General features: G+C 36.6%; 1 pseudogene; it reads right to left on the reverse strand.

Moving 5' to 3' along the window:
• Positions 1-5,505: 5,505 nt before the first annotated feature.
• On the reverse strand, positions 5,506-10,453 carry LOC107987380 (olfactory receptor 11H12-like; annotated as a pseudogene).
• Positions 10,454-25,603: the final 15,150 nt, after the last annotated feature.

Here is a 25,603-nt window from a genome sequence, read left to right on the forward strand (position 1 = left end):
AACTAATACAACCTCAATTTTATTCAATTTGAGAATGTGCCCAGTTTAAAAAATTAGATGTTGCAGTCTCTTCTGTTTATGGTGATTATCATTTGACATGCTTATGTTCCGATATATAAACGGAATATAGTTTTGCCGCTGTCTGACACTTCAGCAGCCATCTTCAGGTAATAAGGTGAACTTAAGGAAAGAAACACATACTACAAAAGATTTGTCAAAAAGGCAGGGAAGCCTAGGTCCCTGATGATATCTTGGCACTGCCCACCTCTGGACTGCAGTGGACTGACTATCTTTAGAAGCACGCATGAGAGAAGAAAACTAAACCTTTATGTTGCATAAATTACTGTAGCTTGAGTTTCTATTATATGCAGCTGAATCTAAGTCTACTATGTGCAGCAAATTTGAGTCCCTGGATAGATCTTGAGTTTCCAACACTTAAGTAAAATGTGGAGTAATTGAATTACTTAATAAAAAGTAATAATTATTTATTCCAACCATAGATACTTTGCTTCTTTGGCCATAGTTGAATTATTATCTTTTAAAAATGGTTCTGTTTTTATTAAGATGACTAGTAGTATATACTTTTGATAGATAAATGGCTTATGTTCTTTAAAAGAGATGAGTGCCCAGTTTGCTCATAATAAAAACTCAGAAGAGATAAACGTTTAAAATATGTTCTTATAATAAACACAGATAAATAAAAGGTAGGTATCCATGGTGTACATGTGCCACATTTTCTTAATCCAGTCTATCATTATTGGCCATTTGGGTTGGTTCCAAGTCTTTGCTATTGTGAATAGTGCTGCAGTAAACATACATGTGCATGTGTCTTTATAGCAGCATGATTTATAATCCTTTGAGTATATACCCAGTAATGCGATGGCTGGGTCAAATGGTAATTCTAGTTCTAGATCCCTGAGGAATCGCCACACTGACTTCTACAATGATTCAACTAGTTTACAGTCCCACCAACAGTGTAAAAGTGTTCCCATTTCTCCACATCCTCTCCAGCACCTGTTGTTTCCTGACTTTTTAATGATCGCCATTCTAACTGGTGTGAGATGGTATCTCATTGTGGTTTTGATTTGCATTTCTCTGATGGCCAGTGATGATGAGCATGTTTTCATGTTTCTTTTGGCTGCATAAATGTCTTCTTTTGAGAAGTGTCTGTTCATATCCTTTGCCCACTTTTTGATGGGGTTGTTAGTTTTTTTCTTGTAAATTTGTTTGAGTTCATGTGGCACATATACACCATGGAATACTATGCAGCCATAAAAAATGATGAGTTCATGTCCTTTGTAGAGACATGGATGAAGCTGGAAACCATCATTCTCAGCAAACTATCGCAAGGACAAAAAACCAAACACCGCATGTTCTCACTCATAGGTGGGAATTGAACAATGAGAACACATGGACACAGGAAGGGGAACATCACACACCGGGGCCTGTTGTGGGGTGGGGGGAGGGGGGAGGGATAGCATTAGGAGATATACCTAATGCTAAATGACAAGTTAATGGGTGCAGCACACCAACATGGCACATGTATACATATGGAACACACCTGCAGGTTGTGCACATGTACCCTAAAACAAAGTATAATAAAAAAAAAAGGTAGGTATCAAAAACATAACAATTCAAACCCTCTTTTAATTAAAGTTGGTTCTTGTATTAGTAGTAAGCAGGGAGCTTGGGGGGAGAGATGTGTACAAGTGTAGATGGGAGGTTCCCAGGTAAAGTTCTTGATTGGGAAGGTTCATTTGATTGTATGACATGTTCCTCCATTCTCTCTGTCTCTGTCTCTGTCTTTTGTTTTTGTTGTTGTTGTTGCTCTAAGCATCTAGAATGAAAACCACAAGGCCAGGGTTTGCTATCAAGGACCACTCTTTCCTTTGCAGAAAAAGCTGGTTCTGAGTGAAATAGAAGGACTAGGGTGCCAAATTAACTCCTCTCCACAAAGTGACCCCACATGGAAAAGTACTTGAGAAGCTCTGTAAAGACATGGTAAAAGCTTACCAAAGACAGTAGCATTATCCTTTCCCTTACACACAAAGTGGAGGGGAAGTGTGGGTAAGTGGTGTGTCTAAAAGCATTGCTTTAAATTATGCATCCATTTGTAAACACTAATTTTTTGTTACTCCATGTTGTTTGTAAATTGATCAAAAAATGCATATTTGTCATGGAAAAATTAGGAAATAAAGATATTAGCATAAAAAAGGAAACAACGAATCTTAATTACCCATAATCCCATGACTTCATGTTTGTGTAAGATTATATAATACTATTGTTTCATGATCTGCCATTTTCACTCAGTGACATATTTTGCACGTGAAATACGTTTTACATAAATATTTGTATAATTTGACTAGTTATTACCTTAAAACTACTGGAAAGAAATCCCTTAGTTCTTCTACTTCACTCATTTCTTCTCTACAGTATTCATTTCTGGGGTAAATCCAGCTCTTTGGCTTGCATGGCCATGTAGTTCTGAAGTTAGCTACACAGGACTTAGCCACATTTCCCAGAATAGGATGTATGGTACAGCAGAATTCTTACTGAACTTGAAGTCAGAAGAACTGGTTCCTTCACTTACTATGGGTGACCTTGGACAGTATACTTGATTTCTTTGAATCTCATCAGTGAAATGAGTATGGGAATGTCTACCTTAACTGTGTGATGACAGAATTTGTGAGGATGAACTGAACAACTATATAAAAGTGTTTGGGAAATGCTGAAGAGCCCTACAAATGAAAGACATTAATAATATTAACTGAAATAGATTCCATAAATACTATGTGTAAGATCCTACCTTGATTTACCGCATTTAATCATCAAATCCACTGTCTGACAAAAGTATTATCATTAGTTCTATTTTATAGTCTAAACAAATCTAGGCAGAAAGGTCAAATAATTTGCATAAGCTCACACAATCAGTGACTTAGATTTGATCCAATCTATTTCATTCGATAGTGTTGGTCTTTTCCCCTAATAGTAGTAAAAACTGTGGGCTCCATTGTTAGCCTGCCTGAGATCAGATGCCATCTCCAACTAGGCAAGTTACCTTTTCTGCCTGTTTCACTCTTCAAAAATTAGAGATACAATAATACCAACCCAATTTCTTTGGGTTTCATAAGTAGGAAATAAAATAATACATAGAAAAGACTTGGAACATTGCCTGACACAAAATAGGTGTCTTAAAACGTTAATTATTATTATTTTCAATGTTGCCAAGACAGCGAACCCTGTGGTGGTGAATTTGCATGTGAAAACCTGTTAAACTGATACACACTCTTTCTTTTCTCCTAATATTGTCGCACTTGCACCTTATGTCCTAAGTTTTCTAGTAATCTTGAATGTACATAATGTTTAGTTGTGAAATAAATTTTGCTTTGTGAGGGAATTAGTTGTAATTGAGGGTAGAATCAAAGTTTGTTCAGCGAATTCCATCTATTCAGTTGTAAAGGCAGCGAATAAACACCATGACTTGTATTTGAAAGTAGAAAATACCGACTTTCAATTGTCATTTCCCCCGAGGAAACCATTAACCAGCACAATTGTTTTTAAATATCAACCTGAAATAACACTGTATTTTTACTGCTATTCTTTCTCTCTCCTTCTCTCTCTTTGGGATACAGTTTGGCTTTGAAAAAATATGGTATATATGCGGTGTTTGGTCAAATAATTTAGCACTATGGAAAAGGTTGTGAACCAGTCATAGTATTTGAGGTTGTAAGAAGAAACCTTTGAAAAGGTAGTGGCTGCACAAATGTATTAACTTAGTACCACAAAGTAGGGAGTTCCGAAACTGTGGTGGAAATATTGCCTGCCTTGACTACCTGTTCTTCCTGAGTCCATTTGCTGATCAGAACTCAGGTAACTTAAAAGTCATATACCCTGGAAAGGAGTATGGAAACAGGAAAGATCCTCAGCGGCTATACAAGTGAGAGATATGGCAGAGTTCTAATAAGATTGACTAAAAGCTTGATACTGTCTTACATCAAAGGAGCAAATAATTGTTCTACCTGGAATGTCCAGGCCCCAATTCACAAATGCATTCCTACCTTTTGAACTGAATAATGATCTCTTTCCCAATAAACTGTTATAAGACAAAAAATCTGAAAGGAAAATTGTTGCACATACATCATATTCTTATATTCTGTATTTTCTGGGACAGTCTGTTTCAGATTAGATGATGAGTCCTAATTCAGGTTTGCAAAATATTATCAAGGCAAATCTTTATGGAGATTTTATTGAGATATTATTTTATAACAAAAAATGGGATAACTGTAATGTTCATCAAAAAAATTGGTGGTAGAAGGAAGGAAGGTGTTGGAGTGTTCAGTAACCTTACCCCAGAATGCCACAGTACAAATTCTGTGAGAAGTCATTCTTGTGTAGTAGAGGCATTCATTTTTCTCCTAATATCCCTTCTGAAAATTCCCTTTTACTAGTCAGCTCTTAGCTTCTTGGAAAGAAGGCCCTTCGTCTAGGACAATGTTCATCTCCCCACATAAAAATTCACAATTCATGGCATGTTAGTTCAATAAAATATTATGCTTTCTAAGGATGATAATTATGAAAACTTGCTATAAATGGGAGCAAGTTCAACATTAAATCACATGAAACAGACATATTAACAAAAATAGATACATTAGAGCAATTGAACTATAAATGCTTTTTTCCTTTAAAAATTTTCCTTCATGTTATTTTCACATTCTTTTAGCAACAAATGACAATGAACTGCCATTGATTTTATTTTTTGAACTTAAGCAGTGTATCTACAAGTACACCATTGCCCTGTCCAATTTTTAGGGGGAGATATTCTATTATCTAAAACTCAATAAATTGACCCATCACGTTTTTGGTGATACCTTATTTAGGTAAAAATATTAGGCATTTAGAAGAATGCATTTGTGAATATTTTGACTGATATTACTATAGATGGAATTAGAATCTGCCCTTTAGGGGCTCAGAAGGAAGTAATGTTTGGATGTCATTAGGCTAGAATATTTTATTGTCCCACAAAAATGTTGATAAATTGCTTATAAGGGCTTATTTATTAGAAATGACCATGTCACCAAATAATAAAGCCAAATATGATAGGAATCACAATCAGAAAATATGTTTTTTCTTCTTTTATTTACAACCAACCAAACAAAATAACATAGATGTAATTTTGTCAATGTCAGAACAATAAATTTAAGTCAAATAGAACTTAAAGAATTTTTATTACAGATGAATCAGATGGAAACTATCCAGAAAACACCCAAATATGTACATTCCTCAGTTAATACTCAGTCTAGGTGCCAAAGGGAAGCCACACGCTTCCATTTATCTATATAATTTGGCAACTTTAATTTGTAAGGGGCCCAACAGGTGTTTAATTTCATAGGCTGATATAGTCAATATCACTAGATCCATATTTTTTAGATTTAAATAACTATATAATTCTGATTTCTCTTTGTTAGACTGTACTGATCTGATCATGGAGGAATAATCTAATATGGCTTAGATTATGTTGGAACTCCCCAGAACTTTCCTCAGGGCTGCCTTTATCTCCTTATTCTGGAGGCTATAGATAAGGGGATTGAAGAGTGGGGTCACCATAGCATAGAACAAAGTTTTGATTTTCTGCATCCCCATAGAGTGTCCAAGTCCTGGACTCACACACATGACCATAAGAGAGCCATAGAACAGTGATACCACAGCCAAATGAGACCCACAGGTAGAGAAGGCTTTATGTTTCCCAGTGCTCGAAGGCATACCCAACACAGCTTTCAGGACAAGAGTATAGGATCCAATAATAAAGAGGAAGTTACCAAAAATAACTAATGAGCTTAGAGTGTAGCAAAACAGTTGGATTCTTGGGGCAGAGACACAAGCCAATGCAAATAGTGGCCCTGGGTCACACACAACATGGTCATTAATGTTTGGACCACAGAAGGGCATCTGAGAGATGAGAACAGTGGGGATCAGGAAACACAGAAATCCACAAACCCAGCACAGTATGACCAGTTTGGCACAGAGATGCCCAGTCATGATTTATTAGGATAGTGCAAGGGATGGCAGATAACAAGGTACTGATCAAAGGCCATCACAGTCAAAATCAAGCATTCAGATGTACCAAAGAGAAGAAGAAATAAAATTGGAGAAAACATCCAGCAAAGGAGATGGTTTTTTTCTCTGAAAGGAAGTTGACCAACATCTTGGGAACTGTAGAAGAGACATACCATATCTCTAAAAAGGAGAAATTTCCCAGGAACATGTACATGGGAGTGTGACGTCGCCGGTCACACCACAGGGCGCAAGCAATGGCTCCGTTTCCTGTTATGGTCAGTGCATATGTTGTAGTGAAGAGTGAGAAGAGGAAGATCTGAATTGTCCACTCAAAAGATAAATCTTGGAGTATAAATTCATTTACTAAAGCAAAGCTGGAATTTGGCTCAGAGACATTCATTGGGCCAGTGACCTGCAAGGTCAAGAGACACATTATCAGTCAGGACTCTTTTACAAAATGAGTTCCTTTTTTAAGAATGAAGAGAAGACAATGAACATGAAGTCATTTTTCAAAAGAATAATTAGGAAGAGAATATAGTTTACTTTTTCTTGGCTATACAGTATATGAGTTTTGGGCTTAGTAGGTAGCTGATTGAACAAAAACTTCTGCCAGCTTCTAAATCTCTCCTTAATATGCAATCGTGATAGAACTAGGTAAAGTTAAATTCCTTTTGTAAGGTCATTATTTTGGGACAGAAATGATTTAATATAGTTTCTGGATAGCATACAACCCAAAGTTAGTACTTTGAGAAGGCACAAATGTGTTAGTTTCTTACTGCAAACCCAACTTATAGTGCAATAGACTCAGCAAGGAAAGTTTTGACCATTTACATTTCAGCTAAACATATTACTTAACATTATTTACATATGCAAAAGAAATGCACATATTTTAAAATAAATTGGTAGCTATCACGTTAAAGCCATTATCTCTGAATTTCTATTGCTGCTGTTGTTAGCTTAAGTGATTATCTAATGTTGCTTACCAATATTGACTTTTAATATTAATATTGTAAAGCTGCATTGTTTTCTGTAGAAAGGGAAGGCTTTAAGTTTCTGATTAATCTTTTACCTTAATTTCATAAACTGATACAGTGATTATTATATTGATAAAATCAATACAGTATTGATTTAGTCATTATGTACAAAAGTTTGCAAAGATCTAGACATTAAACTTTATTTTTGAAGGTATTTCATAAAATTTGGAGATTGATTTTCCTTATATGCTTTTTATAAAATTGAAAAATTTTACTAAATGACAGAAATTAAACACTTTTTTTTGTTATAGGTAAACTTCCTCCTACATTCTTCTAAAAATGTATTTAGGGATTTGAGTTACCTGAAAAAACTTTTTTTTCCTCAGAAATATGGAGGGATGTGAGTTCTAGATGTCAAGAGGGCTTGCATTTTGAGAAGAAACACAAATTTTCAGAAGTTTTTCTTCCAATTTGATCTCTACACCAGTGCTCTAGGAATTCTTTTGGTATGACTAGTTAGAAGTTATGTTTGTGCCTCTTTTAGTAATAGATGCCTCTTTAATTGGCTTCCAACCAGAAACATTAATAAACCAACATTAGGAAATTATGGAAACGGATTGACATGGGAGTGTCATGATTCTCAGCAGTGCTCAAAAGGTGAAGCCATCATCGTTTTGACATGAACCAAATCTCTAAATGATTTATTTTATAAACCATATTCTGCCTCCAGCTAGACAGTTTTATTGTGGCCCCAAAATTAAAAATGCACTTTATAAAACTCACTTTCTCCTGGGATGTAGCTTCTATAGCATTAGGAAAGTTATCTTCCAAGCCAATGAATCTTTAAAAAGTTAATGATTAGATATTCTCTGAAGAATCAGTAAAGAGTAATGACAACTATTCTAAGACATCATTATTTACAAAGAGCTTGCCCACCAGACGGATTCCAAAAAATCTTCCAGAAGACACAGTCTGAGGAGAAATAAGATACAAAATGTTACCAAAAGTTCTGACATAATGTTTAGGAACATTTCAAGTGTTACTGTGCATATGTTGGAGGATATACAGCCCAGTGAGGAAAATACTGATGTTCCAACATTGTCACATATTGAGCAAAAACTTACAGAATTTAGAAATAACTTTTAGAAGGATGGCACTTTTTTGGCAGATTCCTTTAGATATGAGAAAAAAGTATAAGAAGTAGCAACATTTAAGTTAATTGACAGAAATACTTGAGAGGAACATGTGACTTCCCAATTAACATGAAAGAAGTATTGACTTTTATTTGTGTCCCTTCTATTTTTACTTTATGGCATTTAGGGGCCAATATAGTGTAGCTAAACACTCATGTGTGAGTGAATGCTCATACCAAGTGCTGTGAAGTAGTTGAGGACATCAGGGATGTATGCCCTAGGACTACAGACATCTGTCTAAAAGCACACTTCCACTTTGAAAGACTATGGAGGAAAATGTTTATTCAGACCTTTATTATCACTTAATCATAATACTTAGAAACTCCTAAAACATAGCTTTGATCTTGTTGTCTGCTCCAAAAGCCATCAATGATTTCAAGTTCCCAAGTTCTCCACAAATTGACTTCAAATTACTTTCCTGGTGTTATCTTTCCCTACTCTCTTTTACAGATAAATTAGACAGTAGACAGCATTTCATTCTCTGAATAGGTTCAGTTTCCTATGTTCTCTTTTTTGTGATCATTTTCTGTGTTTGGAATTCTATTTATCTCCACCTACACCTGTAAAAACCCTCCTTCAAGATCCAGTTCAAAAGACATTTTTCCCCCCAGAATGTTTTCCCCTCTTCCCCTAAGCAAAGCACCTTTTCCATCCTTGCATTTTTTTTTTTTTTTTGAGACATAGTCTCGTTCTGTCCCCAGGCTGGAATGCAGTGGTGTGATCTCAGCTCACTGCAACCTCCGCCTCCTGGGTTCAAACAATTCTCCTGCTTCAGCCTCCTGAGTAGCTGGGACTACAGGTGCACGCCACCATGCCCAGCTAATTTTTGTATTTTTAGTGGAGACAGGGTTTCACAATGTTGGCCAGGATGGTCTCTATCTCTTGACCTTGTGATCCACTTGCCTCAGCCTCCCAAAGTGCTGGGATTACAGGTGTGAGCTACCATGCCTGGCCCCATCCTTGAATTTTTATTTTACCATCTTTGTGTCTTTGTCATGATACTAATCATAAGCTGCCCTATATCAATGTTCATCCATGATATTGGCTTGAAGTTTTTTCTTGTTGTTGTGTCTCTACCAGGTTTTGGTATCAGGATGATGCTGGCCTCATAGAATGAGTTGGACAGTTCTCAGTTTTTTGGAATCATTTCAGCAAAAATGGTACTGGCTCTTCTTTGCATATCTGGTAGAATTTGGCTGTGAATCCATCTAGTCCTGAGCTTTTTAAAATATATATATATTTTGGTTGGTAGGCTATTTATTACTGATGCAATTTTGGAGCAGGTTATTGGTGTGTCCAGGAATTTACCCATCTCTTACAGGTTTTCTAGTTTGTGTGCATAGAGGTGGTTGTAGTAGTTTCTGATGGTTATTTTTTATTTCTGTGGGGTCAGTGGTAACATGACCTTTTTCATTTCTAGTTGTGATGTTTCTTTCAAAAGATTAGAATGGTAAAAATTATATCTATTCTGATTAGGGCTTCTAGGCATTATTAAATGTTTACACCTTTAATTTACTCTGGTCAACAGTATATTTTTGGGGACTTTTTCTTAAATAATCTTGTCACTAAACCACTTACTTTATAAACAGCCTGATTAAATGAACATGCATTTGAACATTAGACTCTGGATAGACAAGATTAATTAACCTTTGACACAAGAAGCTCACAGTACAACAGGCCACTCTGATAGGACAAAAGTCCTAGGAAGTCTATGTCGGCAAAATCCCACCTAAGGGCTAAACTTTAAGCTCTATTCACTTTTAGCTAATTAAGTAAATATACTGCCATCCCATGCTGATAGTGATGAGCAGTCTCGGGGGAGTTTGACTTCTATAGGGAGGGAGGGAGGCGATGTGTTTCTGCACTTTGCTTCTTCAGTCAGGCATTCTGTGACTTCTTCATTTCCTTCCACTCCTCTTCAAGCCCTGGTATGTTGGCTCAGAAGCACAAGAGGGCAGGATAATCCTCACTGTCTCATTCACACTGACTGAAACCCTGGGCTTTGAAATACAGACTCACTCCTCCCAAGCTCTACTCTGATGCTGGGAGCAATTTAGAGCAAATGTTATCCAAAGTGACATTACCTAGATCACTAGGTTCTTTCTTTCACCCACCTCCAATCCTGCTGTTCTTTCACTTCTAAGTCAAGGAAACTCCAAGTTTACACTTTGCAGGAGCCCCTGGAATATTTGGGGTTTCATATTGCACATCAAAACTATTTCTCACTGACCCAATCATCTATTAAAAATCTTGTTGAATTTCTGCCATTTTAATGGCTATCTGCCTTCATATGAAGTTCTTGGTATTATAATAGTCAGTGTGCTTCCAAATTAATCCCAATTCGTTTACTTTTACTTTAAGATGAAATGTAGGCAGAGCACAGTGGCTCACACCTGTAATCCCAGCACTTTGGGAGGCCAAGGCGGGTGGATCATGAGGTCAGGAGTTCAAGACCAGCCTGGCCAACATAGTGAAACCCTATCTCTACTAAAAATAGAAAAAAAAAAAACAGCCAGGCATCGTGGCAGGCACCTGTAATCCCAGCTACTTGGGATTCTGAGGCAAGGAGAGTCGTTTGAACCTGGGAGGTGGAGGTTGCAATGAGCCGAAGTCGCGCCACTGCACTCCAGCCTGGGTGACAGTGCAAGACTCCGTCTCAAAAAAAAAAAAAAAAAAAAAAAAAAGAAGAAGAAATGTAGCTTAGAAACCATTCTTCCATAAAACCAAAACCATATCTCCTTAAGAGGATGTTGGAAAATCAGCCTTTCTCGTAAAGTAGTTTTCCCCACAAGTTTAAACACATTACTCCACTATAAGTTTAGAGACTATTTTAAAAAACTATTATGCTTCAGCTTTTCCTGCAGTTCTCTCTTTCTTGTCTCTTACATACTTCTCTGTGATCTGGTCCAACAATTATTGCCATGGCAACAAAGGCTCTGTGACATCTCTAGCAAGCTCATTGTCTTCTGCCTTATTAAACTTTAATGGGTAACTAGTAGACAGTAACACTCTGGGAGGGCTCAAACCACATAACCAAATGTGCCAAGATAATCCTGAGCTCACTATTGTCAGGTAAGACAAAGTATTTTAGTGCAATAGCAAACAATTAATTAAACAAACAAAAACAAGAAACCTTTCTTGGGACAGGAAGCCATTAATTAGCTAAGCTCAGAGCCACTCATTGAAACTAGGTCCTGATTGGGTTTCTGGATTTGACCACTGGGCAGAAACTAGGACCCAAAACCAATTGGAATGAAATGGTCCGCAGATATTGTTTTCATGTAAGGATAGGTTTGGAAGTATCCAGACTTAGTGGTGGGCCAGGCCTCCCCTGCGAGCAGTACAGTTCAGGACACCTGGACTGCCCTTTCCCTCTGCCTTCCCTGGGGTAATGTGAATGGCTTAGTCTTTCGTGTTCTCAACTGTAACATGGAGGAGGAAGAGAAGAGCCTCACTGCACATATTGGGTCATTAAGAATGATCTTAGAGCCATAATTTACAATATTTTGAAGTTAGGTTTGATTTTTACCACTCCACTACTCCTCTCCCAATATGTTGTGCCAAATTGTAAGTAATTTGCAATTAGAACACATTGAAGACATATATTTGAGCTCCTCAGAGAGTCTCACCCACCTTTGTGGTAACTTTTTGTACTTCAGGTTTTCTCAAGTCAGAGTGTTGAGTCCTTAAATCAGTGTTGGGTAGTGATAAAATTTTGATACATTGGGTAGTGATAAAATTTTAATTGCCTAAGTTTAGTAAATGGGGGACAGGCTTGCTTATCAACAGTCTTTGTGGCATTTTATGCTGAAAAAGCCTTGAGGCTCAGACTCAGCCCACAGTTCTCTGCACTCCCTCCACTTCCCTTCTGTGCCTTTCATGTGTATCCTTTACAGCAATTTTTTTTTGTGAGTTCTTTTCCTTTTTGAGATCTCTCTTAAGGTTAATGGTGTACAGTAGATATCCAGAACTTATTCATCCCTTTTAGCTGAAACATTGTACCCTTTGACAAATGTCTCCCCATATCCCCTGGGCACAATTTTCAATAGGTAGTTAGGGAAAGCCTCAATGAAAAGGTTGGGATTTTGGGATGCTGATAACATTCAGTTTCTGGAACTAGGTACCTTTACACAGGAGTATCAGTTGATAACAATTCATTGAGCAATATACTTAGGATTTGTGCACTGTACTTTTTGCATGTTATAGATGAATAAAAAATTCAGAAATCTCATAAAGGTGATATTTGGATAAAGACTTGAAGGAAGTGTGGAGGCAACAAATATAAACATCTGGGGAAAGAGGGTTCCAGGCAGAGGAGATGGCATGTGTAGGTGCCACGAAGCAGGAGCACGCCTGGCATGATTGAGACGGCAGGGAGTCCTCATCTCTTCTTCACCTACGCTACATCTCTGAAATGGCCATTTCAGAAAGCATGAAATTTATTTACATGAGTTTATTTTAACAAATGCTCACTTTTGATATTTTACAAGAGTAACTACAAGTTTATTATAGAAAAATTTGAGAAAACATACATATGCATGAGAATACAACATAACCATTTAACATTTAAAATTTTTCCTTTCATCACACTTATATTCATAATGTTTGTAATTAAGTGTAAAATTTACTATACATGTTTATATTATTTATATTTATATTTTAATATTAAAAACTGATTAGTTAATTCAATAATAATAATTGATTGTGAATGTTCCAGGGACTACTCTAAATGCTCATGCACATAGCAGTGAACAAAATGTACAAAAATTCCTATGTGGAACTTATATTCCAAAGGGAGACAACAGGTGTTAAATAAATAAGTAAACTATAGTATATTAGGGAGTGATGAGGAAACGTGGAGAAAAATTAGAAACGTCAGGTCAATAGGGAGTGTGTGTGGGAGCTGGCAGAGGTGCATTTTACCCCCAGCCTTACTAAGATGTAATTGACAAAAACAGTATACAGATTCACATGAGAAGAAAAAACAATTCACAGAACTAGCATTTGACTGTTTGGTGAGACATTCTGGAGTTTAAGCTGTCATTTAAACCAGTTACGATTTTCCATAGGGAGCTACTCTGTCACTTGGGTCTTTTCCCAGTTAAGCAAGGCTACTTTCCATGGAATCATTATCCAGTATATGAGGCTCACTTGGCACTTGTTCAATATGCGCTTGCCTTATAATAGGTGATTGGATATTTTTTATTAAAAAACTATGCATTTGTGGCATACAAGATGATTTTTTGATATGTATACATGGTGAAATGATTAATTCAAACTAATTAACATTTATCACTTCTACATACTTTCATTTTATTGTGTGAGAACATTTAAAATCTCTTCTAAAAATTTCAAGTATACTTTTGGCCCTATGTTTCCATGAGTTCCACATTCAGGCATTCAACCAACTGGATAGAAACTATTTGTACAAAAAACCCACAAAAAATACAGTAAAAGCAATAAAAATAAAAAAATGCAGTATAACAACTACTTATAAAACATTTATATTTTATTAGTATTATAAGTAATCTATAGATGATTTAAAGTGTATGGAAAAATATGCGTAGGTTACATGCAAATATAAAATGATATCATTTTATATAAGGGACTTGAACATCCCAGGATTTTGGTGTCCTTGGGGAGTCCTGGAACGAATCGCCCCCCTGATATTGCAGATATTTAGGGACAATGGTATAACACATGACTGTTAACTACAGTCACTATGCTGTACAGTAGATCTCCAAAACTTATTCATTCTGTTTAGCTGAAACATTGTACCTTTTGACCAATATCTCTCAATTCCCCTGAGTGGAATTTTCAATAGCTAGTCAGGAAAGGCCTCACCGAAAAGGTGATATTTGGTCAAAGATTTGAAGGGAGTGTTAGGGAAAGAAATATAAATATCTGGGAAAAGAGCATTCCAGGCAAAGGAGATGACATGTATAGGGACCACAAGGCAGGAGCATGCCTGCCATACTTGAGAGACAGTAAGGAATCTTCATCTTTTCCTCATGTCTTTCTCACCTCCAATATATTTAAATATGGCTTCCCCCCACCACACCCTTAAAATGGCCATTGCATAAATCACCAATAACATTTGTGTTAGTCCATTTTACGTTGCTATAAAGGAATACCTGAGACTGAGTAATTTATAAAGAAAAGAGGTTTATTTGGCTCATGGTCCTGCAGTCAATACAAGCATGGCATCAGCATCTGCTTAGCTTCTGAAGCCTAAGGAAACTTCTACTCATTGAAGAAAGCAAAGAGGGAGCAGTTGTGTCACATGGCAAGAAAGGGAGCTAGGTGGGGAGGGGGTTGTCCCATACTCTTTTTAACCATCAGATCTGATGGTAACTCTACTATGGGTAAAATGCAAACCCATTCCTGAGGGTTGGGTTGGATACCATCACCATCCCATGAGGGATTCACCTCCATAACACAGACACCTCCCACCAGGCACCCCCTCTGACACTGGGGATCACAATTCAGCCTGAGATTTGGAGGGTGCGTTGAATATAATGTGAGCTGTAGGCTTGTAATACATGGTCTTTATTATGTTGAAGTATATTTCTTCTAAACCAACTCTGTTGAGAATCTTTTCATGAAACAATGTTGAATTTTTCAAATGCTATTTCTGCATCTAATTAGATGATTATATAATTTTGGGCTTCATTTTGTTAATGTATATCACATTTATAGATGTATGTATGTTGATCCACCTTGTATCCTTGGGGTAAATCCACTTGAGCATGGTAAGTTATCTTTTTAACGTGCTGTTGAATTCAGTGTGCTAGTATTTGATTGAGGATTCTTTCATCTATGTTCATCAGGGATATTGGCCTATAATTTTTCTTTTCTTTTCTTTTCTTTTTCTTGTTCTTGTCTGGCTTTGGTGTCAGAGTAATGTTGGCCACGTAAAAAAAGTTTGTAAGTGAAGTATTCCTTCCTCTTAGATTTTTTTTGGAAGAGTTTAAGGATTGCTAATTATTTCAGTGTTTGGTAGAATACAACAGTAAAGCTATTCTGGGCTTCTCTTTGATGGGAGACTTTATTACAATTCAATCTTCTTACTCATTTTTGGTCTGTTCATACTTTTTCTTCATGATTCAGTCTTGGTATCTTGCATGTATCTTGGAATTTATTTATTTCTTATACTTTATTCAATTTGTTACTGTACAATTTTTCATAGTACTCTCTTATGAGCTTTTTTTTCTTATGAGCTTTTATATTTCTATGGTATCAGTTGTAATGTCTCCCTTTTCACTTTTGATTGTATTAATATTTGAGTCCTTTCTTTTTTTTCCTTGGTCTGGCTAAAGGTTTGTTGATTTGTTTATCCTTCTGAAAAAACACTCTTTATTACATTGAGTTCTTTTCTATTGTAGTTTTAGTCTCTATTTTGTTTATTTCTATTCAGATCCTTGTTATTTCCTTCCTTCTGCTGACTTTGGGTTTAGTTTGTTCTTTTTTTATTAGTTACTAGAGTTGTAATATCAGGTTGTTTATTTTATATTTTCCTTTTTAAATTTTTATGGGTACACAGTGACTGTATATGTTTATGGGGTACATGAGATATTTTTCTACAGGCATACGGTGTATAATAATTACATCGCGGTAAATGGGATATTCATCACTTCAAACATTTACCCTTTCTTTGTGTTACAAACAATGCAATTATGCTCTTTTAGTTATTTTTAAATGTACTATAAATTGTTTGGCTATAGTCACCTTGTTGTTCTATCAAATACTAGATCTTACTTATTCTATCTAACTGTATTTTTATGCCGATTATCCATTCCTCCCCTTAACCCTACTATTCTTCCTAGTCTCTGGTAACCATTACTGTATTCTCTATCTCCATAAATCCAGTTATTTTAAGTTTTAGCTCCCACAAATAAGTGAGAACATGGAAAATTTGTCTTTCTGTCCCTGGCTTATTTTATTTAACGTAATAACCTCCAGTTCTATCCATGTTGTTGCAAATAACAGGATCTCATTCTTTTTCATGGCTGTATATTACTCGATTGTGTACATTAACCACATTTTCTTTATTCATCTGTTCATGGACAAACAGGTTGCTTCCAAATCATGACTATTGTGAATAGTGTTGCAATATGCATGGGAGTGCAGGTATCTCTCAGATATCCTGATTTCCTTTCTTTTGTGTATATACCTACCAATGGCATTGCTGGGTCATATGGTAGCTCTATTTTTGTTTTTTTTGAGAAACCTCCAAACTGTTCTCCATAGTGATTGTACTAATTTACATTCCCACCAATAGTGGGTTCCCTTTTCTCCATATCCTAGCCACTATTTCTTACTGCCTGTCTTTTGGATATAAGCCATTTTAACTAGGGTTAGATGATTCGTCTTGTAGTTTTGGTTTGCATTTCCCTGATGAGCAATGATGCTGAGCACTTTTTCACATGCCTGTTTGCCATTTATGTGTCTTCTTCTGAGCAAGATCTTTTGCCCATTTTTAAATTGGATGATCAGAATTTTCCTATAGAGTTGTTTGAGTTCCTTATATATTCTGGTTATTAATCCCTTGCCAGATGGATAGTTTACAAATATTTTCTCCTATTTTATGATTGTCTTTTCAACATCAATTGAAATGATCCTATGGTTTTTGTTTTTAACTTTATGTGATGAATCACATTTATTGATTTGCATATGTTGAATCATCCTAGCATTTCTAGAATAAAACTCAATCGATCATGGTGAATTAAATTTTTAATGTGCTGTTGGATTTAGTTTGTTAGTATTTTGTTGAGGATTTTTGCAGCAGTGTTCATCAGGGATATTGGTCTGTAGTTTTCTTTTGTTGATATGTCTCTTTCTGGTTTTATATCAGAGTAATACTGGCCTAATAGAATGAATTTGGATGTATTCTGTGTTCCTATATTTTTTGGAATAGTTTGAATAGTGTTGGTATTAATTCCTCTATAATATTTGGTAAAATTCAGCAGAGAAGCCACCATGTCCTGGGATTTTCTTCGCTGGGAGACTTTTTATTAGGGCTTTGATCTCATTACTTGTTATTGGTTTGTTCAGGTTTTGGATTTCTTCATGGCTCAAACCTCATAGGTTGTATGTATCTAAGAATTTATCTATTTTATCTGGATTTTCCGGTTTATTGGCATATGGTTGCAAGTGATCCTTTTAATTTCTGCAGTATTGGTTTTATGTCTTAATTTTATTTATTTGGGTCTTTTCACTTTTTCTCTTAGGTAAAGTTTTGTTGATTTTGTTCATCTTTTCAAAAAACAAACTTTTCACTTTGTTGATCTTCTGTATTGTATGCTTTGTTTCCATTTCATTTATTACTACTCTGATCTTTATTATTTATTTTCTCCTAATAATTTGGGTTTGTTTGCTTTTGCTTTTTTAGTTTTTAAAGATACATCACTAGGTTATTTGAAATTTTTCTACTTTTTTGGTGTAGGCACTTGTAGCTATAAACTTTCACTTGCCAGGTTTTGGTATCAAAGAGATGCTGGCTTCATAGAATGAGTTAGGGGGGAGTCCATTCTCCTCATTTTTGGGAATAGTTTAAGTAGAGTTGATACTAGCTCTTCTTTGTATGCATGGTAGAATTTGGCTGTGAAACCATCTGGTCTAGGACTTTTTTGGTTGGTAGATTTTTATTGCTGCTTCTATTTTGGACCTTAATATTGGTCTTTTAGGGTTTTAATTTCTCCCAGATTCAATCTTGGGAGGTTGTTTCCAGAAATTGATCAATTTCCTCTAGATTTAGTAGTTTGTGTTCATAGAGGTGTTCCTAATAGTCTTGGAGGATATTCTGTATTTATCGGATCATCTGTAATGTCACCTTTGTCATTTCTTAATGTGATTATTTGAATCTTCTCTCTCTCTTCCTCTTGCTCTCGCTCTCTCTCTGTTACTGTAGCTGGCAGCCCATCAATCTTGTTTATCCTTTTAAGGAATCAACTTTTGGTTTCATTGATTCTTGGTATTAATTTTCTGGTGTATTTCAATCAGGTCTGCTCTGGTTTTAGTTATTTTTTTTTCTGCTAGCTTTGTTTTAGCTTTTCTAGCTATTCTGTTGGATGCTAGGTCATTAATTTGAGGTATATCTAACTTTCTGCGGTAATTGTTTGGTGCTATAAACTTTTCTCTTAACACTGCTTTTGCTGCATCCCAGAGATCTTGGCATATTGTGTCTCTGTTTTCAGTTATTTCAAAGACTTTTTTGATTTCTGCCTTAATTTCATTGTTCACCCAGAAGTCATTCAGGAGCAAGTCACTTAATTTCCATGTAGTTGTGTAGTGTTGGGTGATGTTTTTAGTCTTTATTTTTATATGATATACTATTCTAAGCTGACAACAATCACAACTGTATGCTTTATTTGCCAACAACAACCGTACACTTTATTTCTCCTCTCCCACATTTTACGATTTTGATGTCAAAATATACATCATTTTCTTATGTGTATCCATTGACTATTTTTGCTCTATGTGTTTTAATAGATTTGTCTTTTAACCATTGTACTATAGGAAAAAATTGCTTTACACATCATCATTACAGTCTTAGAATATTCTGGATATGACTTTGTATTTCTTATCCCATTGCATTTGTGTTCTCATATGTTTTATATTTTTAATTAGCAGCCTTTTAATTCAGCTCAAAGAACTTCCTTTAGTAATTCTCTTAAGACATATTTAGTGGTGATGAACTCTCATAGCTTTTGTTTGTCTGGAAAAGTTTTTGCTTTTCTCTCATTTGCCAAGGACAACTTTGCTGGGTTAAGTAGACTTGTTGGCCTTGTTTTTTCCCTTCAGCACTTTGAATACATTATCCTACTCTCTCCTGGTCTCCTGAGATTTTGTTGAGAAATCCAGTGACAGCTATTTTGATATTCCCTTCTATGTGATATGCTTCTAATTACTTGCTGTTTTCAAAATGTTTTCTTTTTCTTTAATTTTTGGTATTTGAATTATTGTACATCTTGGATAACTCCTATTTGGCTTAAACTTGTTTGGATAACTCTGCATTTGCTGTGTTTAGATGTTAGCAACTTTCTCCAGATTTGGTAGTTCTTTAGAATTTCTTCTTCAGATATGCTTTCTGGTCTCTTTTCTATTTCTTTTCTTTCTGAAAACTCCTATTAGATGAATATTAGGTCTTAATAGTTTCCCTTCATATCCAGAGTCTGTCTTTATTCTTTTTCAATCTTCTTAATTTTTTCTCTTCTGACTGAATTATTTTAAATGTTTTGTCTCTAGCTTATTGATTGTTTCCCTTCTGCTTGATTGAGCCTGTTCTTAGAGCTTTCTATTGCATTTTCATTTCAGTCATTTTATTCTTTAAGATTTCTATATTTTTATTATTCCTATTTGTCAAACATGTTATATTGTTTATTATTTTTCAATTTTTTTAATTATCTACCCTTATATTATTGTAGTTCACTAAATTTTTTTTATTATACTTTAAGTTTTAGAGTACATGTGCACAATGTGCAGGTTAGTTACATATGTATACATGTGCCATGCTGGTGCGCTGCACCCACTAACTCGTCATCTAGCATTAGGTATATCTCCCAGTGCTGTCGCTCCCCCCTCCCCCCACCCCACGACAGTACCTAGAGTGTGATGTTCCCTTCCTGTGTCCATATGTTCTCATTGTTCAGTTCCCACCTATGAGTGAGAATATGTGGTGTTTGGTGTTTTGTTCTTGCGATAGTTTACTGAGAATGATGGTTTCCAATTTCATCCATGTCCCTACAAAGGACATGAACTCATCATTTTTTATGGCTGCATAGTATTCCATGGTGTATATGTGCCACATTTTCTTAATCCAGTCTATCATTGTTGGACATTTGGGTTGGTTCCAAGTCTTTGCTATTGTGAATAGTGCCGCAATAAACGTACTTGTGCATGTGTCTTTATAGTAACATGATTTATAGTCCTTTGGGTATATACCCAGTAATGGGATGGCTGGGTCAAATGGTATTTCTAGTTCTAGATCCCTGAGGAATCGCCACACTGACTTCCACAATGGTTGAACTAGTTACAGTCCCACCAACAGTGTAAAAGTGTTCGTTTCTCCACATCCTCTCCAGCACCTGTTGTTTCCTGACTTTTTAATGATCGCCATTCTAACTGGTGTGAGATGATATCTCATTGTGGTTTTGATTTGCATTTCTCTGATGGCCAGTGATGGTGAGCATTTTTTCATGTGTTTTTTGGCTGCATAAATGTCTTCTTTTGAGAAGTGTCTGTTCATGTCCTTTGCCCAATTTCGATGGGGTTGTTTGTTTTTTTCTTGTAAATTTGTTTGAGTTCATTGTAGATTCTGGATATTAGCCCTTTGTCAGATGAGTAGGTTGTGAAAATTTTCTCCCATTTTGTGGGTAGCCTGTTGACTCTGATGGTAGTTTCTTTTGCTGAGCAGAAGCTCTTTAGTTTAATTAGATCCCATTTGTCAATTTTGGCTTTTGTTGCCATTGCTTTTGGTGTTTTAGACATGAAGTCCTTGCCCATGCCTATGTCCTGAATGGTAATGCCTAGGTTTTCTTCTAGGGTTTTTATGGTTTTAGGTCTAACATGTAAGTCTTTAATCCATCTTGAATTGATTTTTGTATAAGGTGTAAGGAAGGGATCCAGTTTCAGCTTTTTACATATGGCTAGCCAGTTTTCCCAGCACCATTTATTAAATAGGGAATCCTTTCCCCATTGCTTGTTTTTGTCAGGTTTGTCAAAGATCAGATAGTTGTAGATATGCGGCATTATTTCTGAGGGCTCCGTTCTGTTCCATTGATCTATATCTCTGTTTTGGTACCAGTACCATGCTGTTTTGGTTACTGTAGCCTTGTAGTATAGTTTGAAGTCAGGTAGTGTGATGCCTCCAGCTTTGTTCATTTGGCTTAGGATTGACTTGGCAATGCGGGCTCTTTCTTGGTTACATATGAACTTTAAAGTAGTTTTTTCCAATTCTGTGAAGAAAGTCATTGGTAGCTTGATGGGGATAGCATTGAATCTATAAATTACCTTGGGCAGTATGGCCATTTTCACAATATTGATTCTTCCTACCCATGAGCATGGAATGTTATTCCATTTGTTTGTATCCTCTTTATTTCATTGAGCAGTGATTTGTAGTTCTCCTTGAAGAGGTCCTTCATGTCCCTTGTAAGTGGATTCCTAGGTATTTTATTCTCTTTGAAGCAATTGTGAATGGGAGTTCACTCATGATTTGGCTCTCTGTCTGTTATTCGTGTATAAGAATGCTTGTGATTTTTGTACATTCATTTTGTTTCCTGAGACTTTGCTGAAGTTGCTTGTCAGCTTAAGGAGATTTTGGGCTGAGACAATGGGGTTTTCTAGATATACAATCATGTCGTCTGCAAGCAGGGACAATTTGACTTCCTCTTTTCCTAATTGAATACCCTTTATTTCCTTCTCCTGCCTAATTGCCCTGGCCAGAACTTCCAACACTATGTTGAATAGGAGTGGTGAGACAGGGCATCCCTGTCTTGTGCCAGTTTTCAAAGGGAATGCTTCCAGTTTTTGCCCATTCAGTATGATATTGGCTGTGGGCTTGTCATAGATAGCTCTTACTATTTTGAGATACGTCCCATCAATACCTAATTTATTGAGAGTTTTTAGCATGAAGGTTGTTGAATTTTGTCAAAGGCCTTTTCTGCATCTGTTGAGATAATCATGTGGTTTTTGTCTTTGGTTCTGTTTATATGCTGGATTACATTTATTGATTTGCGTATACTGAAGCAGCCTTGCATCCCAGGGATGAAGCCCACTTGATCATGGTGGATAAGCTTTTTGATGTGCTGCTGGATTCGGTTTGCCAGTATTTTATTGAGGATTTTTGCCTCAATGTTCATCAAGGATATTGGTCTAAAATTCTCTTTTTTGGTTGTGTCTCTGCCTGGCTTTGGTATCAGGATGATGCTGGCCTCATAAAATGAGTTAGGGAGGATTCCCTCTTTTTCTATTGATTGGACTAGTTTCAGTAGGAATGGTACCAGTTCCTCCTTGTACCTCTGGTAGAATTCGGCTGTGAATCCATCTGGTCCTGGACTCTTTTTGGTTGGTAAGCTATTGCTTATTGCCACAATTTCAGCTCCTGTTATTGGTCTATTCAAAGATTCAACTTCTTCCTGTTTTAGTCTTGGGAGAGTGTATGTGTCGAGGAATTTATCCATTTCTTCTAGATTTTCTAGTTTATTTGCATAGAGGTGTTTGTAGTAATCTCTGATGGTAGTTTGTATTTCTGTGGGATCGGTGGTGATATCCCCTTTATCATTTTTTATTGCGTCTATTTGATTCTTCTCTCTTTTTTTCTTTATTGGTCTTGCTAGCAGTCTATCAATTTTGTTGATCCTTTCAAAAAACCAGCTCCTGGACTTTTTAGAATTCTTTGTCAGTCATTTTGCAAATCTCCGTTCCTTTAGGGTCCATTGTTAAGAGTTTTATTAGTTTATTTTGGAGGTGTCATCATTCCTCGATTCTTCACAATCCTTTTGTTCTTGCACTGCTGTCTGTTCATTTGAGGAGGTAGCTACCTCTTTTTATAGGTATTAGTTGGCAGGGATAGACTTTCATTATTTAGTCTAGCCTTTCATTCTAGATTGGCCAACTGGTACCAACCCTGGGAAAGTAGAGCTTGCTTTCTGCTTTCAGGTTCTCCGGATGGCTCAGCTTTTGTCTTTGCTCTGAGTTCAGTTGGGACTACTGGCTGGGCTCTGATTTTTGGTATGACCACTAAATGAGCTATGCAATCAGACAAAATTGCTTGCTCGGATGGTGATTGTCTCTGACTGGGCCAGGCCACAGGATGTATTTCCTGGCTGGATGGTACCACTATTTGAGTTCTGGAGTTGTATGGGGTTGCAGGCTTACTCATAAAGTTAAGTGGGGACACTGCTCAGGATGGAGAGAACAGCTACTACACTTGGTGGGAATGCACATTTGATGTTTGCCTTCCTGACTGGGTAGCACCTTGGGGTGGGCTTTGAGATTTGAGCCAAACCACTGTTTGGATTCCTTGTTGGGGTGCATATAGCCCTTTCACTTTGCCAAAATGCACTGCGGCAAGTATCTCCATCTCTGAGTGGGCTTTGGGGATGATTTTGAGGCTGAGTTGAACCACTGTTAGAGTCCCCAGGTAAGGCATTTCTAGACCCTACACTGTGCTAATAATGGGCTGTGGTATGCATCTCCCTGCCTGGCTGGGTCCCTGTTGTGGGTTTTGAGACTAAGCCAAACCACTGTTTGGGCTTCTGAGTGGGGCAGGTCTAGCCCTTGTACTTTACCAAAATATGCTGTGGTCATCTCCCCCTCTGGACAAGGCTTTGTGGTAGGATCTGGGGCTGGCATGGAGGCTGATTGTCTAGGGATTCAAGCCAGGTAGAACTTCCTATTTCCCGGGGCAACCAGCTTGACTTTGTTGGTTTGTTAATACTGTTCGCTAATGCCCCTAATCACATACCACTGCTGGTGGTTACATAGACCTACCACCAAGATCTGCATGTTTGTCACTATGAGCTTTGCCTTCCTGCTCTGTTTCTACCTGACCACAGGTAGTCTAGCCATGCTATTACCCCTATGCTCCTTGCAAGGTGAGACCAGAGTTGGCTTCCTGGGGGAGGTATCTTGGAACACAGGGAACGTGAATGTCCACCTCTAGTTCTCTTTTCCTACTGTAGAAACTGTGGGCCTAGAAAAATTCTAAGTGGTGTTGTGCTGACTTGGGAGAAAGGGAGAGGTGATGTGGTCAGAGTGAGGCTATTCTTTTTACACTTCTCATGTGGCATTTTGTTTGGTTATTTAGTTCACACAGGTTTCTCAGGCTTAATCTTGAGTTTTGAAGTGTTCACATAGGAGTTTTTGTCTGTGTACAGTTGTTAATTGAACATTCTATGAAGGGTAGGGAAAACTGGGACCTCCTATTCTTCAATCTTCCTGATGTCATAGAGAATCTGCATTTTGAAAAGATCCATACGTGATGGTGATTGATATGGATATTAAAGTTGAGAACTACTAGGTTAAACATCTGTTTTCATGTGAAACATGAAAAATAAGCTAGATTTTGAGTTGCAATTATAGGGTAATACACATTTTTCAACTTTTTCATCTTTAATCTTGTTCATAAGAGGCTGCAACTGATCCAAAAACAACTTATTCCCAGGCTATAGCAAAGGTTTTCAAACTCAAACAATGTAGAATTACAAAATGTAGAGTTCACATCTTCTCTGGCTAAGATAATGTTGACTAATGAAAATAATGGTAGATTGGAAAATCTATTTGAGTTACTATACTTTCTTGTACCTAAGATAAAATACCCATATGATGATTATTGTTAATCCTCTACAGAAACATGATGAAAAGAAGTTTTAGTTGAGCAGAGGAGATAGAAAGCAAGATCACAGGGGGTTGGGGAGTGAATATGAAATGAAGAAGTAGAGGTTGACTATACTCTTTCATGTCACTTGGCACCCTCCAAAGTAAAAGGAATTTGATGTAATCAATTTGCCACCCATTGCTGGCTGGTTTTCTCAAAGATTGGTGCCATATTGAGGGCTTAACATTGGTTTCTCATCGAGGCTGCATCTTCAGTGGCTCAGTGATTTGTCACCAACCTTGGTAAGATAATGCCTGTATTTTTTGGCACGTGCATATTTTCCATTTATACAGCTTTCTTTATATTCCCTTTTATAAGCTCTGAGGTGAATGAAATCAGAGCTGACTGACATTTTTAGATGACTCATTCTTTTCACTTAGCTATTGAGTGCCTCCACTCTGGAGGATACTCTCTAATGGGCACAGAGTTGAGAAACAAAGATCTGCATACTTTGTGCTTATTCTCATAGGCCCATACATAGGCCTCCACCTCAAATTTCATTAAATCTGATTTTTCTGTATTTTGAGGGGGTTTGCTTAGTGAAACTTTTTTACAACAATCATTATACTACACATATCCTTATCTTGCATAGCAAGCTATTTCTCCCAACATTCAAAGTGGACAACTAAGTATATTGCTACCGAATCATTGGCTTACGAGGATTTCCTCCACCACTACATTCTATGGCTACCCTGGAGAGGCGTTAAGCTGCAGCATTAGTCAGTTTTTATCTTGTCTAAGTGTAGATTCAGACAATCCATTTGTGATCCAAGCCTGAGGCTCTTTCTTCATTTATTAGCTGGTTGTGTGAAATACCATGAAGCCATAGGTATGAACTGAGGAAGAGATATTGTCACAATGAAGGCATGTTTGTATCTTATGGAAATGCTTTTTACTGTATCTAATAGTTTTCAATTCATTCTATCAAGTGCCAGCAAGCTCAATATGAGATAGAATTTAATATTGGTAAGATAAGATTGGTTAATGATCAATTTGAAGATAAT

The sequence above is a fragment of the Homo sapiens genome, assembly GCF_000001405.40.
Source record: "Homo sapiens chromosome 15 unlocalized genomic scaffold, GRCh38.p14 Primary Assembly HSCHR15_RANDOM_CTG1".
Classification (NCBI taxonomy): domain Eukaryota; kingdom Metazoa; phylum Chordata; class Mammalia; order Primates; family Hominidae; genus Homo; species Homo sapiens.